Source organism: Homo sapiens, chromosome 8 (assembly GCF_000001405.40).
Source record: "Homo sapiens chromosome 8, GRCh38.p14 Primary Assembly".
Lineage (NCBI taxonomy): Eukaryota > Metazoa > Chordata > Mammalia > Primates > Hominidae > Homo > Homo sapiens.
The window spans coordinates 67,149,691-67,167,964 of record NC_000008.11 but is presented as its reverse complement, the minus strand read 5'-3'; the positions used below and the strand labels follow the sequence as shown (position 1 = coordinate 67,167,964).

Below are 18,274 nucleotides of genomic sequence, written 5' to 3'. Positions count from 1 at the left end.
CAACCTCCACCTCCCAGCCGCCTGCCTTGGCCTCCCAAAGTGCCAAGATTGCAGCCTCTGCCCGGCCGCCACCCCGTCTGGGAAGTGAGGAGCATCTCTGCCTGGCCACCCATCGTCTGGGATGTGAGGAGCCCCTCTGCCCGGCTGCCCAGTCTGGGAAGTGAGGAGCACCTCTTCCCAGCCGCCATCCCGTTTAGGAAGTGAGGAGCGTCTCTGCCCGGCTGCCCATCGTCTGAGATGTGGGGAGCGCCTCTGCCCCGCCACCCCATCTGGGATGTGAGGAGCGCCTCTGCCCGGCCGCAACCCTGTCTGGGAGGTGAGGAGCGTCTCTGCCCGGCCGCCCTGTCTGAGAAGTGAGGAGCCCCTCCGCCCGGCAGCTGCCCCGTCTGAGAAGTGAGGAGCCCCTCCGCCCAGCAGCCGCCCCGTCTGAGAAGTGAGGAGCCCCTCCGCCCGGCAGCTGCCCCGTCTGGGAAGTGAGGAGCCCCTCCGCCCAGCAGCCGCCCCATCCGGGAGGTGGGGGGCAGCCCCCGCCCGGCCAGCCGCCCCGTCCAGGAGGGAGGTGGGGGGCAGCCCCCGCCCGGCCAGCTGCCCCGTCCGGGTGGGAGGTGGGGGGCAGCCTCCGCCCAGCCGCCGCCCCATCCGGGAGGTGGGGGTGCCTCTGCCCGGCCGCCCCTTCTGGGAAGTGAGGAGCCCCTCTGCCCAGCCGCCACCCCGTCTGGGAGGTGTACCCAACAGCTCATTGAGAACGGGCCATGATGATGATTGCGGTTTTGTCAAATAGAAAAGGGGGAAATGTGGGGAAAAGATACAGAAATCAGATTGTTGCTGTGTCTGTGTAGAAAGAAGTAGACATAGGAGACTCCATTTTGTTCTGTACTAAGAAAAATTCTTCTGCCTTGGGATGCTGTTGATCTATGACCTTACCCCCAACCCGGTGCTCTCTGAAACATGTGCTGTGTCCACTCAGGGTTAAATGGATTAAGGGCGGTGCAAGATGTGCTTTGTTAAACAGATGCTTGAAGGCAGCATGCTGGTTAAGAGTCATCACCACTCCCTAATCTCAAGTACCCAGGGACACAAACACTGCGGAAGGCCGCAGGGTCCTCTGCCTAGGAAAACCAGAGACCTGTGTTCACTTGTTTATCTGCTGACCTTCCCTCCACTATTGTCCTATGACCCTACAAAATCCCCCTCTGCGAGAAACACCCAAGAATGATCAATTAAAAAAAAAAAAAAACCGTTAAACTGAATTAAATATGCATGTTTAGAAGTTGGAAAGCTGCACAGTTAAGGCATTTATAACACTGTAAAAGTAAATATAGAAAAAAAACACTACCTCTCAATTGCTTGGAACGTATTGACCTACTATGGGAGAATTATTGAATCACTGAAAATTACCACCTTGGATTAACATTTCATTATCAAGCCAATCTGTACCTTGAAATTTCCTCACCTTGTTTACCTTGTTTCAATATTCCTGGAGAATACAAACAAAAATCTAAACAAACCATAAGTAGTCAAATTAACGTGCTATGTTAAAATCCTACCACATACTGGATTACAGTCAGACATCAGCATAAACTTAATATGTATACAAATAGACATAGGAACAATTATAGATATGTTTATATTTATGACTTAGTATAACATACATATATTATCCAGAGGGCCTAGAAGCAGTGACACCCAGCAATAAGCAGACCCAGCTTATCTGGTTTCTAAATACATTCTCCAAAAGGAACCAGGGCTCCTTGGAGAAATAGCTGATTCTAGGGATGGGGCAGGGGAAATACAAGATGATCCTGAGGCATCTGGAAAGAAGTCTTCAAAAAACAAAAGGATGGGGACATGTCAAAGAGACACGGGAGCCAACCTGAAAGAGCTCCCAATGGCCAAAGTTGGAACAATTTGTGAAATAAAATAATGTAGCACTGGCTTATAACCCAAAGTATATGATAAATATACATGAGATGACAGTAATAAATAAACGATTGAATAAATAAATAAATGGAAGAAGACACAAGTCTTTCTTATGGAAGAATTCTAAAAACTGTATATAGGTAACCCCTGCTCCAAGAGATGAAGCTTAATTCCACCCCCTTCTCACTCTTGCAGGTGCGCTAGATTTAGTCATTTGTGACCAAAGAATAGTTAACTTTCTAGTGGAGAATCCTGGCAAACACTACTTTAACCAAGGTTAACATTTCCAGAGGTATCATGTGGATATCATGTACCCCTGATACAATGTGATGATGTGATGTCAGAACAATGCCTGTGCTCTTCTTTCCAGAAACCCTTAATCCCAGTCTAATCATCAGAAAACATCAGTCAAATCCAGACTGGAGGAGGAGGCATTCTACAGGATACCTGGCCAGTGCCCATCTAGACTTTCACAAGAAAAACAACAGAAGACTGGTAAACTGTCCCAGACCCGAGGAGACTGGGAGACATGACAACTAAATGCAATGTGGTACATCTTGTATGGGGCCCATGAACAGAAGGAGAACATTAGTAGAAAACTGGAGAAATCCAAAGAGTCTCAAATTTAGTTCATAGTAATGTTCTAATGTCAGCCTCTGAGTTGTGACAAACATACCATGGTAATATAAGATGTTAACAATAGGGAAAACTGGATGAAGGGTGTACAGAAACTCTCTGTATTGTTTGCAACTTTTCTTCGTGAGACAGAGTCTCACTCTGTCACCTAGGCTGGAGTGCAGTGGTGTGATCTCGGCTCACTGCAACCTCCGCCTCCTGGGTTCACGCCATTCTCCTGCCTCAGCCTCCTGAGTAGCTGGGACCACAGGGGCGTGCCACCACACCCAGTTAATTTTTTGTATTTTTAGTAGAGACGGGGTTTCACTGTGTTAGACAGGATGGTCTCGATCTCCTGACCTCGTGATCCGCCCACCTTGGCCTCCCAAAAGTGCTGGGATTACAGGCGTGAGCAACTGCACCCAGCCTGCAACTTTTTTATAATCAAAATTACCCCAAAATAGAAAGTTTATTTTTAAAAAGAGAAAGAAAGAAAATGTGGTAGTTACCCACTATGTTGATTTTACAACCTACTAAAACAGTGCAAACTGAAGTTTGAAGAACACTGCTTCATGAAATTTATGACTCCTGGCAAAAATGATCAGAAATGTTCGGTAGCCCGTACGTGATTTTGTTGAAAAAAAGTATTTCAGAAAGCTACGTTATTAATGGAAAATATAAAAAACAGTTCTAAAATGCAACTACTGTCTGTAATTATTCCAACCCGGAAATTTCCATTCCTACATGAATCCCCTTGAGAACTAAATTTCTACAGCTGATTTTGTAAAAGACAAAGAAAAGGAAAGTAAGGAGATTTTAAGTAAGATGAATTAGTCCTGTTCCCAAACTACAAAATTACTGGATAGGTGAAGTAAGATAAAAGAACTCAAGCGAACACAAAAACTGCAATTCTAAACTTGCCTGATAGGAATTTCATCATCACTGTCCATGTGTAGCAATCGCTCTTGTAGACGCCTCTCTTCACTACGAAGCTGTTTTCTCATTTCTGATAATTCCATAATTACATTTTTTTTCTCCTCTGCAAATTCCCATTGATAAGTAAAACACAAGACAGGAATAAGAACAAAAGACTAAACATTAAAACACAACCTGACTAATAATAAAGTGAAACTGCTCAGAGAGACAATTTTATGAAAGATATTTTAACATTTTATATATACACACATACATGGATCATAATTGTGAACGTCATTAGGACCCACAAGTACATTTTTTATAATATAGGAATTTCAGAAGCGATATTCTTGGGGGAGTGCAACTATAAAGGAGAGGCCCAAGGAAGTTCCTTTACGGTGATGGAACAGTTCTGTATCTTGATTGCAGTGGTAGTCGCACAAACTGTGCATGATAAAAATGCACAGAAATACACATACATAAATGCATGTAAAAACTGGTAAAATCTGATGGTCTGTGGACCACATCAATGTCCACTTCCTGGCTATGAGACTATACTATCTAAGATGTTACCCCAGGGGAAAGTTGGAGAATGGGTACACAGCACCTAACCGCTCTATACTGTTTCTGCAATTTTCTATGAGTTTATAATTATTTCAAAATGAAAAGTTAAAAAGAGAAATACTCTAGGTAACAGGTTTAGTAGTTAACTCTACCTTCTGCACGGAGCTGATTTTTCCTGGCAGGTACCGGGGGTGACTGTGCCCTGGACATGGAACTTTCCTGTTCAACAATAATGACAAAGACATGTTCAGTATGTCTTCCCTACACAGAAGCTTGAAGGGAGTAATTTTTTGAAGTATTTATATGTAAAGGAAACCAAACTCCACACTATCCTACCTCCAAAACTTACCCAGCTATACTCTACCCAAGGTAGAGTATATCCACCTTTTATATCTATTCTAGAGTGTATCTACCATGTAAATCTATTCTTCCTTCTCATCACGATGGAAGTGTCCTTGCCTCTACCCAAACAGAATCCCTTCACCTGTACTCTGTATCTGATAATTGACTCCCATTCTCCTCCGATTATTCTTTTTTCCAACTTCCTCTCTCCAAGCACCTTCCTCTCAGCCTATGTGTAAAAACCTCTCCCTTTCTTAAAAAAAAATTTTACCTCATCCTTCATTGCTCACTGTCTCCTGTCCATTCTGTCCTTCCCTTCACAGCTGAGCTTCCTTAAAGAACAGTAAATGCAGTACTTTTGGGTCTACTGCCTACTCTCATTCACTTCTCAACACACAGCTATGGCCTTTGCTTTCACACCCATCACTCCAACAATACTGCCTTCACCAAAGTCATCAAGTGACCCCCAAGTGACACATTCAGTGGGCATTTTACTTGGCCAGTCGCAACTGCCGTCACTGCCATCCTCTCTCACCCTCTGTCCATTCCTTTCACTGCTTCTCAAATGTTGGTAATTTCCCAGTATTCTATTCTCAGCCTCCTTTACTTCTCTTGTAGACACTCATCGTAGACAATGGCACTAATTTAACAAGCACCAATATGTTGATGGCGTCCAGAACTACAAATCGAGTCCAGAACTCATTCTGCTGCCACAATTCATATTTTCAACTGCCTACTCTATGTAACCCTCACCAAAAACTTGAAAGTTATCATAGACTCCTACCCACCACACACTCAACAAATAGTACTACTATGTCTCTTAAATGTATCATAAAGCTGTCACACCTTCACAGTTCTTGGTGTCACTGCCTTTGTTTGGGTCCTCAGTCTCACATCTGGACTTGTGCAAAAGCATCTTATCTCCATGTTTAGTCTTGCCCCACCTCCAAAACTTATCTCCACACCATTGCCTAAAAAAACATTATACAAAAGTGGCCATGTCATTCCCCTACTTAAATATTACAATGAATTCCTATGCATTATCTACCACAGACCTACTAAATCAGAATCTCAAAGGGTGGAATTCAGAAACATGTTCTTCTGACACATTTCTTTACCTTCTGCTAATTAGCCTGTCTGGAATCTACCAGCCTATGGAACAAAATCAAAGCTCTTAGCACTCCGTACAGCATGCCACACATGTTCTGACCTCCACCTCCTCTGCTGCCTTAATGCACAAGCATCATCAGGCCAGACCACACCATGGAAGATTCTCCACATGTGCCATGAGCTTACATTGCTCTCCACGACTTTCCACAAGCTGATAATCCCTCACCCTCCTCTTCAAGGCAAATTCCTGCATATTCTTCAAGCATCACCTTGAGGATCAATCTTAGAACATTTTCCATGTTCTCTTTTCCTTGTAGTTCAATCTAAAGTATAACAGACTCAATGAGCATATCTACAGCTACCTAGCTTGAGGGGCTAAATTATGGTTTGTCAAAAGAAACTTTAGGGCACCAAGCACTATCAGTTACAATCGAAGCAGCAGGCAAATTACTGTAGATATCACCTATATTTCAGATCTGAAAAAATTTAACCTATCCAAATATAATGAAAAAGAAAATTTCATTCGATCCCCCAATCCAAAATAACTGAGCTAGGATGAACAAATAAAAACAAAAGTACATACATGAATAAAGGAACGTATGATGCTGTCAACTGAAGGAGGTCTTTGGAGTTTGCTTGCAATTTTGTTCTGAAGAGCAGGAACTATAGGAGAAGGCTGTCTCATGTGCTGAAAAATTTAAAAAATTTAAGAGCATATTTGCTTCATCACACTCACACACATATATACACACACACACACCCCTTATAGTTAAGAAAGTCATCTAAGAAGTTTAGATTGTTATTGCTTTTATTTAATAAAATGCTTTCTACAAAAGTCAGAAATTCAATTACATAAGATCAAACATGTTGGTTATGATAAACATAAATGGATTTAGACATCTTTATTAAAACAGTATGACTGTCAGATTAGGATTTAAAAAATCAACAAACACAAGTAAAGCAACAAAAAAGAAAAAATATAACAAAACTAAAGAATCATCTTTAATAATAAAAAGGTACCATGACAATACAAAAAAATTAAATAACAAAATCCTTCTGGAAAGCAATACAAATCAACCTCGAAAATCTAGATCTAATCACTAACAGCATCATGGATGAGGGACTTTTCAAGATCACGATGGGGTTCTATATTTCAGTTTATAGTGTATTAAACCTTATAGTCCAAAAACTTCATTGTAAATACAACATAGACATTCTAAATCCCTGTAGAGGATGGAGCAAACAAGCCATAGTACACATAACAAAAGACCAAAAAGCTATCAAGGAAGAAAAACACAAAAAAGTCAGAAATGCAATTAATGCAAAGACATTAGTTTTGATAAACATAAATGGATTTAGATATCCCTATTTTAAAAGATTAGGCCAGGTGCAGTGGCTCATGTCTATAATCCCAGCACTTTGGGAGGCCAAGCAGGCAGGTCACCTGAGGACAGGAGTTCAAGACCAGCCTGGCCAACATGGTGAAACCCCGTCTCTAATAAAAATTAGCCAGGTGTGGTAGTTTGCACCTGTAATTCCAGCTACTGGGGAGGCTAGGGCAGGAGAATCACTTGAACCTGGGAGGCGGAAGTTGCAGTGAGCCGAGATTGCACCACTGCACTCCAGCCTGGGCAACAAAGCGAGTCTCTATTTCTAAATAAATAAATAAATAAATAAAAATAAAAAGATTATAACTCAGATTAGGATTTTAAAAATTCAACAAACTAAAGATAGAAGCTAACTAAATAAAAAATATGGTGACACAAAGGTAAAACTGAAGGAATAGACAAAAATATATATATATATCAGACATACATAAATGAAAGAAAATGATAGCAATGTTAATTTCAGAAAGGCAAATGCATTAAATGGGATAAAGCTGATTTAAAACTTTATGGTACTTTACAATTAAATTATAATATCATAAAAGTATATATTCCTTAAAAAATAGCATTTTTAAAAAACATAAGAAATTACAAGAAATATAATTATGGGAAACTAACAATTCTGTTTAATTCTTTTTTTTTTTTTTTTGAGATGGAGTCTCGCTCTGTCACCCAGGCTGGAGTGCCACAGTGCAGTCACGGCTCACTGCAACCTCCGCCTCCCAAGTTCAGGCGATTCTCTTGCCTCAGCCTCCTGAGTAGCTGGGACTACAGGTGCCTGCCACCACGCCCAGCTAATTTTTGTATTTGTTATAGAGACGGGGTTTCACCATGTTGCCCAGGCTGGTCTCGATCTCCTGGCCTCAAGTGATCCGCCTGCCTCGACCTTAAATTCTTAAATGATGAATTTTACAATAAAAAATTATCTGTGAGGCAGGGTGTGGTGGCTCACACCTGCAATCCCACCACTTTGGGAGGCTGAGGCAGGAGGATAACTTGAGCCCAAAAATTTGAGATCAGCCTGGGCAACATAGCAAGACCTGGTCTCTTAAAACAAAAAGAAAGAAAAAGAAAAAGAAAAAGAAAAGAAAAGAAAAGAAAAGAAAAGAAAAGAAAAGAAAAGAAAAGAAAAGAAAAGAAAAGAAAAGAAAAGAAAGAAGGAAGGAAGGAAGGAAGGAAGGAAGGAAAGGAAAGAAAGAAAGAAAGAAAGAAAGAAAGAAAGAAAGAAAGAAAGAAAGAAAGAAAGAAAGAAAGAAAGAAAAAGAAAGAAAGAAAGAAAGAAAGAGAGAGAAGGCCGGGCGTGGTGGCTCACTCCTGTAATCTCAGCACTCTGGGAGGCAGAGGTGGGTGGATCATCTGAGGTCAGGAGTTTGAGACCAGTCTGGCCAACATGGTGAAACCCCGTCTCTGCTAAAAATACAAAAATTAGCTGGGCATGATGGCGTGTGCCTGTAGTCCCAGCTACTTGAGAGGCTGAGGCAGGAGAACTGCTTGAACCCAGGAAGTGGAGGTGCAGTGAGCCAAAATTGTGCCACTGCACTCCAGAGCCTGGGCAACAGAGCGAGATTATGTCTCAAAAAAAAAAAAAAAAAAAAAAAAAAAAAGAATACATATATATATATATATAAACCACTCTCACTTTCTGTATTAGTCTTGTCATGAACCATAACAAACAGTTCATGTTGTACTGTCTGCAGACCATATTCTTGGGTGGCACCGCATACACCATGGGAATGAGACTAAGAATGGCTCAAGTAAGTAAATCCATTACCTTCAATGGACAGAAAATACCAACAAAGCACAGTGACAGTACCTCCTACAGAAAGTTCAGTACATTGTGCCCAGACTAAACAGTAAGACAGAACAGGAACAAAAGCACCTCCTCCTCTTTCTCCCCTTTTCTAACAACTGTACAACTCTCACAGTGAAAGTGAGTTAAACTATGGGTTTGATTGACATTTTTGTCTGAAACTTACCTTTGTTTCTTCCCCAATCAAATTGTCTCTTTCACAGTAGTGCTGAAGTTGCAGGTTATATTTTTCTTCTTCTTCTTTCTTCTTTCTTTCTGCTTCTTTTTGTCTTTCTTCAGCTAACCGAATATGCTCTTCATTTTTTAGCCTTTGCTTTAAAATAAAAAGAGAAATATGCATTCCATATATTCCTTCTATAGTACATTCAAAAATGTGCTGCCTTATTTATCTGATAAAATGAGATAAAGATATAGATGACATGATATGGTGTTCTTTAACATAAGTTGTCTGCTTAAAAATAAAATATTAGGCATCTTTTATAAAGTCTTCAGTCAGCCTACATCTATATTTTTAAAGTCATCACTTATCTCCTTTCTTAAATTACCCTTTCACCTTAATAAAATAATATCCAAAGAATGTATATTGATCTGATATTTTCTAAATGTACTCCAACACTGTTCTCCTTTATAAGTAAGAAATACCTTTTCAAGTCAAAGATTTCACCTTCAGACTAAGTAGTAAAATACAATAGGGAAAAAAGATGTACCTCCTCCTCTTTCTCTCTTTTCTTTTCCTGTTCCTCTTCATACTCCTGCTGAATTCGTGCCCTCTGTTCTGCAAGCCGTCTTTCTTCTTTTTCTTCTGCAATTCTCAGTCTCTCTCGCTCTGCTTCCTCTCTTTGTTTCTTTTCCTCAATCTAAAGAATTAAACTTAGTTATTTATCTTGTAAAACTATTGAAAAGTTAGAATATCACTTATTTTTTTCCTGATAGTATATAAACTCAACACTTGTACCCTCTTTTTGCATGTTCCTAAATTTTTCAGTCTCCTGTATTTTCAGGGAGGCTACATGATTTACTGTACTGTTAAAAGCTTTGAGTTAAATTCCAGTTCCACCAAACAGACCGTGTGACCTTAAGAAACTTGCTTGTCCTCAGTTTTCTCTTTTTTCTGGTAAACACAGTTATTAACGCCTACATCTCAAAGGAGTGCTTAAAGAATTAAAGTGAAACAATGTAAGGAACATAAAAGTCCTCCTATATAGAAGGTTCTAAGCAACTAATTCATGATTATATTATTCTATAGTGATTGCTGCTATTATGTGTCAAAATTCTTGGAATTGATTATTCTAAAATAACAGTGAAATTAGTATTTTAGTATTCAATCATTTTTTAATGCAAGAGCCATTTCTCCCAAATGCCCTTTGTTATTTCCTAACTATAGAGGTTAATGGAGAAAGAACTAAAACTATTAGGTGGAGGAGGATTTAGGTCACAAGGACTCACAATTAAGTTTCATCTTGAATGCTACCTGGAGTCTGCAGCGTTGAGTACTCTAGAGCCTAAGATTTGAAGGAAAGAAGGCCCTAAGAGATAGATAGTCCACACGCCCGATGAATGAGGCAGGGAAGAACAGCAGCATGGGAACCAGGTATTCATGTCTCTGGTTTAAAGTTATCAACAGATTTTAGTTATCCTTAGGTATGGATCATACTACTCAGCATATTTTTGTTTTTCTTGTCTGTACTTCCTCTAGCTTCAAGGTTGCTCTATCTAGTGCTATTAATTTTTGAGCTACAAGAACTTTAATCTGGCCAGGCGCGGTGGCTCACCTGAGGTCAGGAGTTCGAAACCAGCCTGGCCAACATGGTGTAACCCCGTCTCTACTAAAAATACAAAAATTAGCCAGGCGTGGTGGTGTGTGCCTGTAATCCCAGCTACTCAGGAGGCTGAGACAGGAGAATCACTTGAACCCAGGAGGCAGAGGTTGCAGTGAGCCGAGATTGCACCACTGCACTCCAGCCTGGGCGACAGAATGAGACTCTGTCTTTAAAAAAAAAAAAGAACTTTAATCTTCTAACACATCCTATGATTTTATATACTAGGGCTTTTTCCAACACTTCTTTCTCACAACATTATTAAATATGCATAAGCCTAATATTTAGTACTTTTAGTTAGCAATTTGCATGCAATCACTTCTTCAAGTCCAATATGCCTAAAGAAAACATCATTTATAATTCATCAAAATTTCATATTCAATACTCAATTCCCCCTTCTTCCTACTCCATGGAAAAAAAAATCACATTCACAGGGGTCACTTTTCCATCAAAATCAAAGAATACCAATTTTTAAGCTATTAATGGATCATACACCTAATGGATCCAAAGCTCAGTGCCAACAGGAATGCTAGACAGTTGTTCAACAGGTTTCTGGTCTGGAAAGCAGGGAAAGCTATCTTCCTGTCATGGTTTTCCAATTACATAACACAAAAATGCTTCAGAGTTCTTAAAAATATTTTATTTGTTAACTATTTTTAAAGCTGTGGTTAAAAATGTCAAACATTCACAAGTGTTATTAATATTCACCAAATTTTAACAGCATGAAGACTTCTGATGCATTAACTTGAGCTAACTGTGGAACTTACTTGTACAGACCTCAGGCTAATTTCTTACCATCTTTGTGCACAGATTTGAACATTTCATAATATTTTTTTTAACAAAAGTTTTGGATACTTTTTATCTGACATTATATTGTTGACAGTAATAATAAATACCATTGATCTATTTTACATTTTCTTAGAATTACATATTAGGTTTTGTTTGAGGTGGGAGAAGAGATTTTGAAGAGGCTGCTGAAAGAAAAATTAAAAAATCATCATCTGAAAGCAATCCATTCACAGATAAATTGAGGGTTGACAGGGTGGAAGAACTGAAGGTTGAAACTAAAATAGTTAAAGCTTCCCCCATTACCATACTTTTTCTAGAGGTAAAGACTTCCTAGTGAATCCTATAAATAGAAGTCTGATATCCATAGATATTACACTTGAAGTCTGGAGACTTGGGTTCAAGCAATGGCCTCACAATTTGCTAGCTGTGACACCCTGGGCAAGCCTGTTAGTCTGTGTATTAGTTGTATGTTATTAAACAGAGATAATAAAACCTCTCTCAGAGAAATCTGAGGTTTGATGAGACACTATATGTAAAAGTATCTCAAAAACAATAAAAGTCTATACAATTGTAAGATTGTTTTTTGGCTGAATTCTACCTTAGACCATGATAAGAACTGCTAAGCATTAGAGGAGGTACTTAAATTATGACCTGCTGTCATGGTCAATATACCACACGGTCCTTTACGTTCAACAGGGACTCTGAACCCTCAACTTGCTGCTACCTGACTTGAGTGCACAATATTGGGACCTCTGATACCAGTTTCTCACATTTAATATCTATATTGTTTCTGCTGAACCTTAAAAAGCACTTTCCACCCATTTCCACTGTCACCCACACTAGTAAAATATCCCTGCTTCCACTCTTTTTAATCCTCTATTATTGTATCTTAAACAGTGATGTCACATCAATCATCCTTTTTTCACTCTGTCACCCAGGCAAGAATAAAGTGGCATATCTTGGCTCACTGCAACCTTTGCCTCCTGGGCTCAAGCAATCCTCCCACCTCAGCCTCCCGAGTAGCTGGGGTGACAGGCACACACTACAATGCCTGGCTAATTTTTTGTAGAAATGGGGTTTCATCATGTTGCCCAGGCTAGTCTCAAACTCCTGTGCTCAAGAGATCTGCCCACCTTGGCCTCCCAAAGTGCTGGCATTAGAGGTGTGAGCCACCACACCCAGCCTAATATCAATCATCCTTAAAGGCTATATCCATTACGTCACTGCCTTATTTAAGAGTCAAGAATAATTAGGATTAAAAAGAAGATATGTTTGAGGGCATCTATTTAAGAGTTTGGAATTAGATTATAAAACCTTAAATGTTAGGTTCAAGAGTTGAGATAATTTCTGTAGGCAAAGAAAAGCTACCACCAGATTTTGAGTAAAGAAGAATAGCAGGTGAAAAGTCATATCAAAGGAGGATTAACCAGGCCATAAGATTAATCTGACACTGGTATCTAAGTGTGAGTGTGAAGGGGAGGGAGGTAGGGAAAGAAGAAACTGTGAGTCCCTCATGAGCAAGTATCTCACATTCATCTCAGGCTCCATCCCTAGGACTCAGCCCAGGGTACCCCCAGTATGGGAGTAAGTCTGTTTGCTTCATAAACACTGGATGTTCAAGTGTCTTCCTTTGCGAATAGTCTGGGCAGTTCTACTATGTTAAATGCCATTTACTTATGTACATAAATGGGGCAAATAATTGTAAACTGTGATTATCTTAAATCTAATTTTTATTTATTTACAATCTGTAATAATATCAAATCATTTGGAAAAAATCTATTGATTTTCTAATAACTTACAAATATCTAGAAAGATGCATTCTCTGCCTAATAGATGAATATATTAGTAAATCAGTTTTTAAAATCTCAGCATTCTTTGATTTAAAATTAATGACTTAGGCTGGGCGTGGTGGCTTACACCTGTAATCCCAGCACTTCGGGGGACCAAAGCAGGCAGATCACTTGAGGTCAGTAGTTCGAGACCAGCCTGGCCAAGATGGTGACATCCCGTCTCTATTAAAAATACAAAAATTGGTCAGGTGTGGCGGCTCACGCCTGTAATCCCAGCACTTTGAGAGGCCAAGGTAGGCAGATCACGAGGTCAGGAGATCAAGACCATCCTGGCTAATACGGTGAAACCCTGTCTCCACTAAAAATACAAAAAATTAGCCGGGCGTGGTGGCAGGCACCTGTAGTCCCAGCTACTCAGGAGGCTGAGGCAGGAGAATCACTTAAAGCCAGGAGGCGGAGGTTGCAGTGAGCGAAGATCTCACCACTACACCCTAGCCTGGGTAGACAGAGCAAGACTCCGTCTCAAAAAAATAAAAAAAATTAATTATTTAATAAAATAAAAGATTAAGTCAACTACTATACTTAATACATCTGTTTATTTCCTTGAAATGAAATAACTTTTGTACTACTGATATCTGATCTGATATAAATTAGATATTTTAGATAACAGTATGGCATTTTAGAATTTAGTATTTATCCTGGAGAAAATCTTTGCAAGTTTTGTTTATTAAAATCTCATGAAACTTTGAAACTGATCAAATAGCATTTCACCTGGAAACGAAGAAAATTCTTGTATAATTCTTGCTGTTTAATCTGAAGTTCAGTTGGAGGCTCACCAAATACATTTCCCCGAGCAAAAGGAGAGCTCTGTGTTTGCATATGACCTTGAAAGAAATATTTTGCAAAAACATACTATTAGCCAATGCTTAGAAAATTTAACAGTTAAAGAATGAACAGTTTGCTAATAAATTCATTTTTAAAAAAAAAAAAAGTCCAAAGATTAAAATCAGAAGGGGAAGGTTGAGATTAGAATCTGAAGATCAGATGAACAGTAGTAAGAGAAAGAAAAATGGTAATACTAAAATAAAATTAACAGTTAAAAAAATCAAATAATATCTGAAAGATACAAAGGAAACATAAAAGCTAACAGCTTAAACAACCCTCATTGCAACAAAGGCTTTAAAATAGAATTTATAAAGAAAAAAAGGACATATTTACATTCTTCAGTATGTGAATATCCTTTACTTAAGAATATTGCTTAATAACATATTAAAATGTATTATGTAACATATATTTAAAATTTTCTAAAACCGTTTTTAAAAATCAGTAATTTCAAAATGCTTCCCAATAGTTTAAATGACAGAATAGAAAGTCAGCTTTGAAAAACATATTTAACAAATTAGAATGCATCTTAATTATTGTAATCGTTTTTATTTTTAAAACTCTCAACTTAATGAGATATAAACATGAACAAAAATTTTTTAGTATATATTACCTATAAATAGTATCATATATTCTTGGAATGGAAAAAATTATTTCATAAAAGCAATTCGAAAAACAATTATACCCTTAGAGTCTCTTTGAATGCAGATGGGAAAAAATGACATTTAAATTTAAGCCTCACATAACTTTTTATATTATTTTTGAGTTTCTGACTCATTCTTTATACCATTAAACTAAAGCATGTATTTCTTTTTTTGTTTTTTGAGACAGAGTCTTGCTCTGTCACCCAGGCTGGAGTGCAGTGGCATGATCTCGGCTCACTGCAACCTCTGCCTCCCAGGTTCAAGCTATTCTCCTGCTTCAGCCTCCCAAGTAGCTGGGACTACAGGCGTGTGCCACCATGCCTGGCTAATTTTTTTTTGTATTTTTAGTTGAGACGGGATTTCGTCACATTGGCCAGGCTGGTCTCTAACTCCTGACCTCAGATGATCCGCCCGCCTCGGCCTCCAAAAGTGCTGGGATTACAGGCGTGAGCCAGCGTGCCCAGCCTAAAGCATGTATTTCTCGCATGTAGTTTTGTATAGGCAAATTGCTTTGCAGTTCAGCTACCACTCAGGTCTATTTTGCTTTTGTATTTAAATTTATTAATGCTTATTTGAACAGACTGGCAGAAAGCCAAATCAATACTTAAACATTATGAATACTTTTTCCCTCTAGAAAATTTTCCCACTGAAAACAAACTAAATATACACCTTGAAGGCTCTTTTAAATTTTATGCTGTGGTGGAAAAGCTGATTAGCAAAACAAACTTGAGTAGCATGTTTCACCGTGATGCTCACTCCTATTCTAAACCTTTGGGGCAATTAGAGAAGAAATATTATTAGAGACAGACAAGAGAAGTCCTTTTAGAAATGAATAAACTATAAAAGGAAAATCATAGGGAAACACTTGCTATATACAAAGAAAGCAGAAATGTATCTTGGCATGATAATAAGCCAAAAAAATAAATTTAAGCCAAATTCGTATTAGACTTCATAAGCCATAGCTCATCTAAAAACCATAAAATAAAAGAAAAAATAATGAACATTATAAAGGGCATCAGAAACAAACCTAATGAAGATAAAATATTAGAGGATAAGGAAACTTAAACACATGTTGTAACATTCAATTTTCAGCTATATTCAAGTTCCTTCAGGCTTTTAAAATATCAAATGCTACATATATGCAAAGATATGTGTGTCTGTGTGTACATACATACACATACATGCACTCATACACATATATATGGCATAGCACAAAATTAGGTGGCTTTGAATCATTTCTTGTATTGAGAAAGTTTATTTTAGATTAATTAATTCTTTTTTTTTTTTTTTTTTTTGAGATGGAGTCTCACTCTGTCACCAGGCTGGAGTGCAGTGGCGTGATCTCAGCTCACTGCAACCTCCTATTCCCGGGTTCAAGCAATTCTCCTGCCTCAGCCTCCCAAGTAGCTGGGACTACAGGCACATGCCACCACGCCCAGCTAATTTTTGTATTTTTAGTAGAGACGGGGTTTCACCATGTAGGCCAGGATGGTCTCGATCTCCTGGCCTCATGATCCGCCTGCCTCAGCCTCCCAAAGTGCTGGGATTACAGGCGTGAGCCACTGCACCCAGCCAATTAATTCATTCTTAGGGAAGAAAAGTCTAATTTGGGAATTTCAATTCACAAAAAAAAGGAAGTTTTAAACATTTTATGGTTTTTTTTTTACTCAATTCTTAAAACAGAACATCTTGGCAACAATATCAGCATAAAAACCTGGCAGTGGTACAGAAAGGCTATAGGCAACAAATTTTGCTGTGCATGTTTAATCATCAGGCTTATGCTTTTGGGAAGGGATCATGGGAACTGTTGATTTTCTGGTGTTTTTGCTTGGTGTGCAAAGCTAGATGGCTAAAAAGTGTTATTACTAAGATAGCGAAAGTTCTAGGCTGAGCCAGAACTACAAACAATACCAGGTATGGAAGAAAAGGGTAGAGAAAGACTCTGTATGGCAATGAGATCTCAATACAGACTACTAGAAGCAGCAGCAAATGAGAAAAATATCAGAAATAAGTCAAAATTCTCTTAGCAGCAATAATATGAAAAGGTGTTGTGATGTTCTTACCACACACTATTACAAATTAAAAGAGCCAAATCAATAATATTGTCAAAATCAAAGGTTCCAATTTTAGTGCTCTAAAAATCAAAACTGGATCCGATAAAATATATTGTAGAACAAAGAAAGCATTTTCTCATAATTAGAAAACACTGGTACAAGCTGCCCATGAAAACGGTAAATAATCCATCTCTTAAACTGTTCAAAAAGGCTACAGATAAGTGTGCTACCATCAAAGCCTTGAAAGATGCAGGGCTATGACTCTAATCACAGCTCCCCACTTCACTTATCTGTTTAGCCAAAAATAAGGGTTAAAAACAAAAAAGACTACATGATCAGTCACAAATATTTTAGAACTTCCTAATGAAAAGTTCTTTTCTAATCTAAAATCAAAACTTCTGTGAAAGCACAAAGTAGAATTTTGTAATGAATAAATGGCCAGTTTTATAGGCATCAAAATATAGTGTGAGGTGCTGTATTAAATTTTATTTTTAAATATATAACACAATTTAACATACCTGACAACTTTTCCTGGTATGTCAAAAAAAGATAATTGAATAATTTTCATCTTTCAGAATTGATTAAAGGATATTAATAGTAAATCAAAGATAAGTAGTTAAGAGGCATGTAACCAGGCGATGGCTCACGCCTGTAATCCCGGCACTTTGGGAGGTGGAGGCGGATGGATCACAAGGTCAGAAGTTCGAGACCAGCCTGGCTAAATGGTGAAACCCCATACCTACTAAAAATACAAAAATTAGCCAGGTGTGGTGGTGGGTACCTGTGATTCCAGCTACTTGGGAGGCTGAGGTAGAGAACTGCTTGAACCCAGGAGGTGGAGGTTGCAGTGAGCTGAGATTATGCCACTGCACTCCAGCCTGGGATAACAAAGTGAGACTCCATCTCACAAAAAAAAAAACAACATTGCTTCATTTCTTTGTACACTGTTGTTTTACAAGGGAGGGTAAATGATTACTAAAACAAGTAAAAAATGAATTTCCCTGTACAATTTATCATATCACAATGATACTGTTTCACTAATTCAAACAGCTATGGATATAAGATGCAAATTGTGTATGTGTGTAAAAAGAGTGTTTGATATTAAGAAATGTCCCCCACTAGCAAAATAAAAATGTTAGCAGCAGCTAAAGGATACACAGCAAGTTACAAAGCTGAGAAGAAACACAGTAGGAAGAAGTAACCTTTCCCTATTCACCTTTTTTCAAAGTAACTATGAAGAAAAGGCACTTTATGAATAGTGTGTTATGTTTCCTGTATCAGGATAGCCAAATTCTCAAGATCCCAATAAGAACTTAGTCACAGAACAGAAATGTTACTGAACAATTTCAGAAATGTAAAAAAAAAAAAAAAAAAAAAAAAGTGATTAAAAACCTGAGCTTTTATTTGCAGCATCTTCTAGGTTCTCAGCATTTGAAGTGGCTAAATTTGGGTCTAGAGATACAACAGCCCTTTTATCTTCATATGTTCTTGCATCTGGGTTATGGTAGGCATCTATATTTTGTCTGTGCATCCTATTCAAATCAGCTGAGAGGAAAAAATAAGCCATTTATTTCAATAAACACATTTCTGTAATTGGCATGCAAAATATATTTTCTTAAAATAGGAAGTCAGAAAGA

At 38.5% G+C, this 18,274-nt stretch overlaps 1 protein-coding gene and 1 long non-coding RNA gene across 37 annotated transcripts in view; one reads left to right on the top strand and one right to left on the bottom strand.

Annotated features, from left to right (window-relative positions):
• Positions 1-18,274, bottom strand: part of CSPP1 (centrosome and spindle pole associated protein 1) — a 132,247-nt gene that overhangs the window by 28,650 nt on the left and 85,323 nt on the right. For 25 of the 36 annotated variants that reach the window (XM_011517598.3, XM_047422253.1, XM_005251305.5 and 22 more), the window contains 7 exons: positions 18,030-18,182; positions 13,829-13,941; positions 9,369-9,518; positions 8,828-8,974; positions 6,050-6,154; positions 4,167-4,233; positions 3,457-3,574 (listed from right to left, as the gene is read on the bottom strand). In XM_011517598.3, the coding sequence (XP_011515900.2) occupies positions 3,457-3,574; positions 4,167-4,233; positions 6,050-6,154; positions 8,828-8,974; positions 9,369-9,518; positions 13,829-13,941; positions 18,030-18,182 (853 nt within the window). The remainder of the gene's footprint in view (positions 1-3,456; positions 3,575-4,166; positions 4,234-6,049; positions 6,155-8,827; positions 8,975-9,368; positions 9,519-13,828; positions 13,942-18,029; positions 18,183-18,274) is intronic. The other 11 variants (XM_047422245.1, XM_047422257.1, XM_006716474.4 and 8 more) reach the window with 1 other exon arrangement.
• Positions 400-3,236, top strand: LOC124901956 (uncharacterized). The gene is made up of 2 exons (XR_007060954.1): positions 400-433; positions 2,291-3,236. It is a non-coding gene; the product is annotated as an uncharacterized LOC124901956 (long non-coding RNA).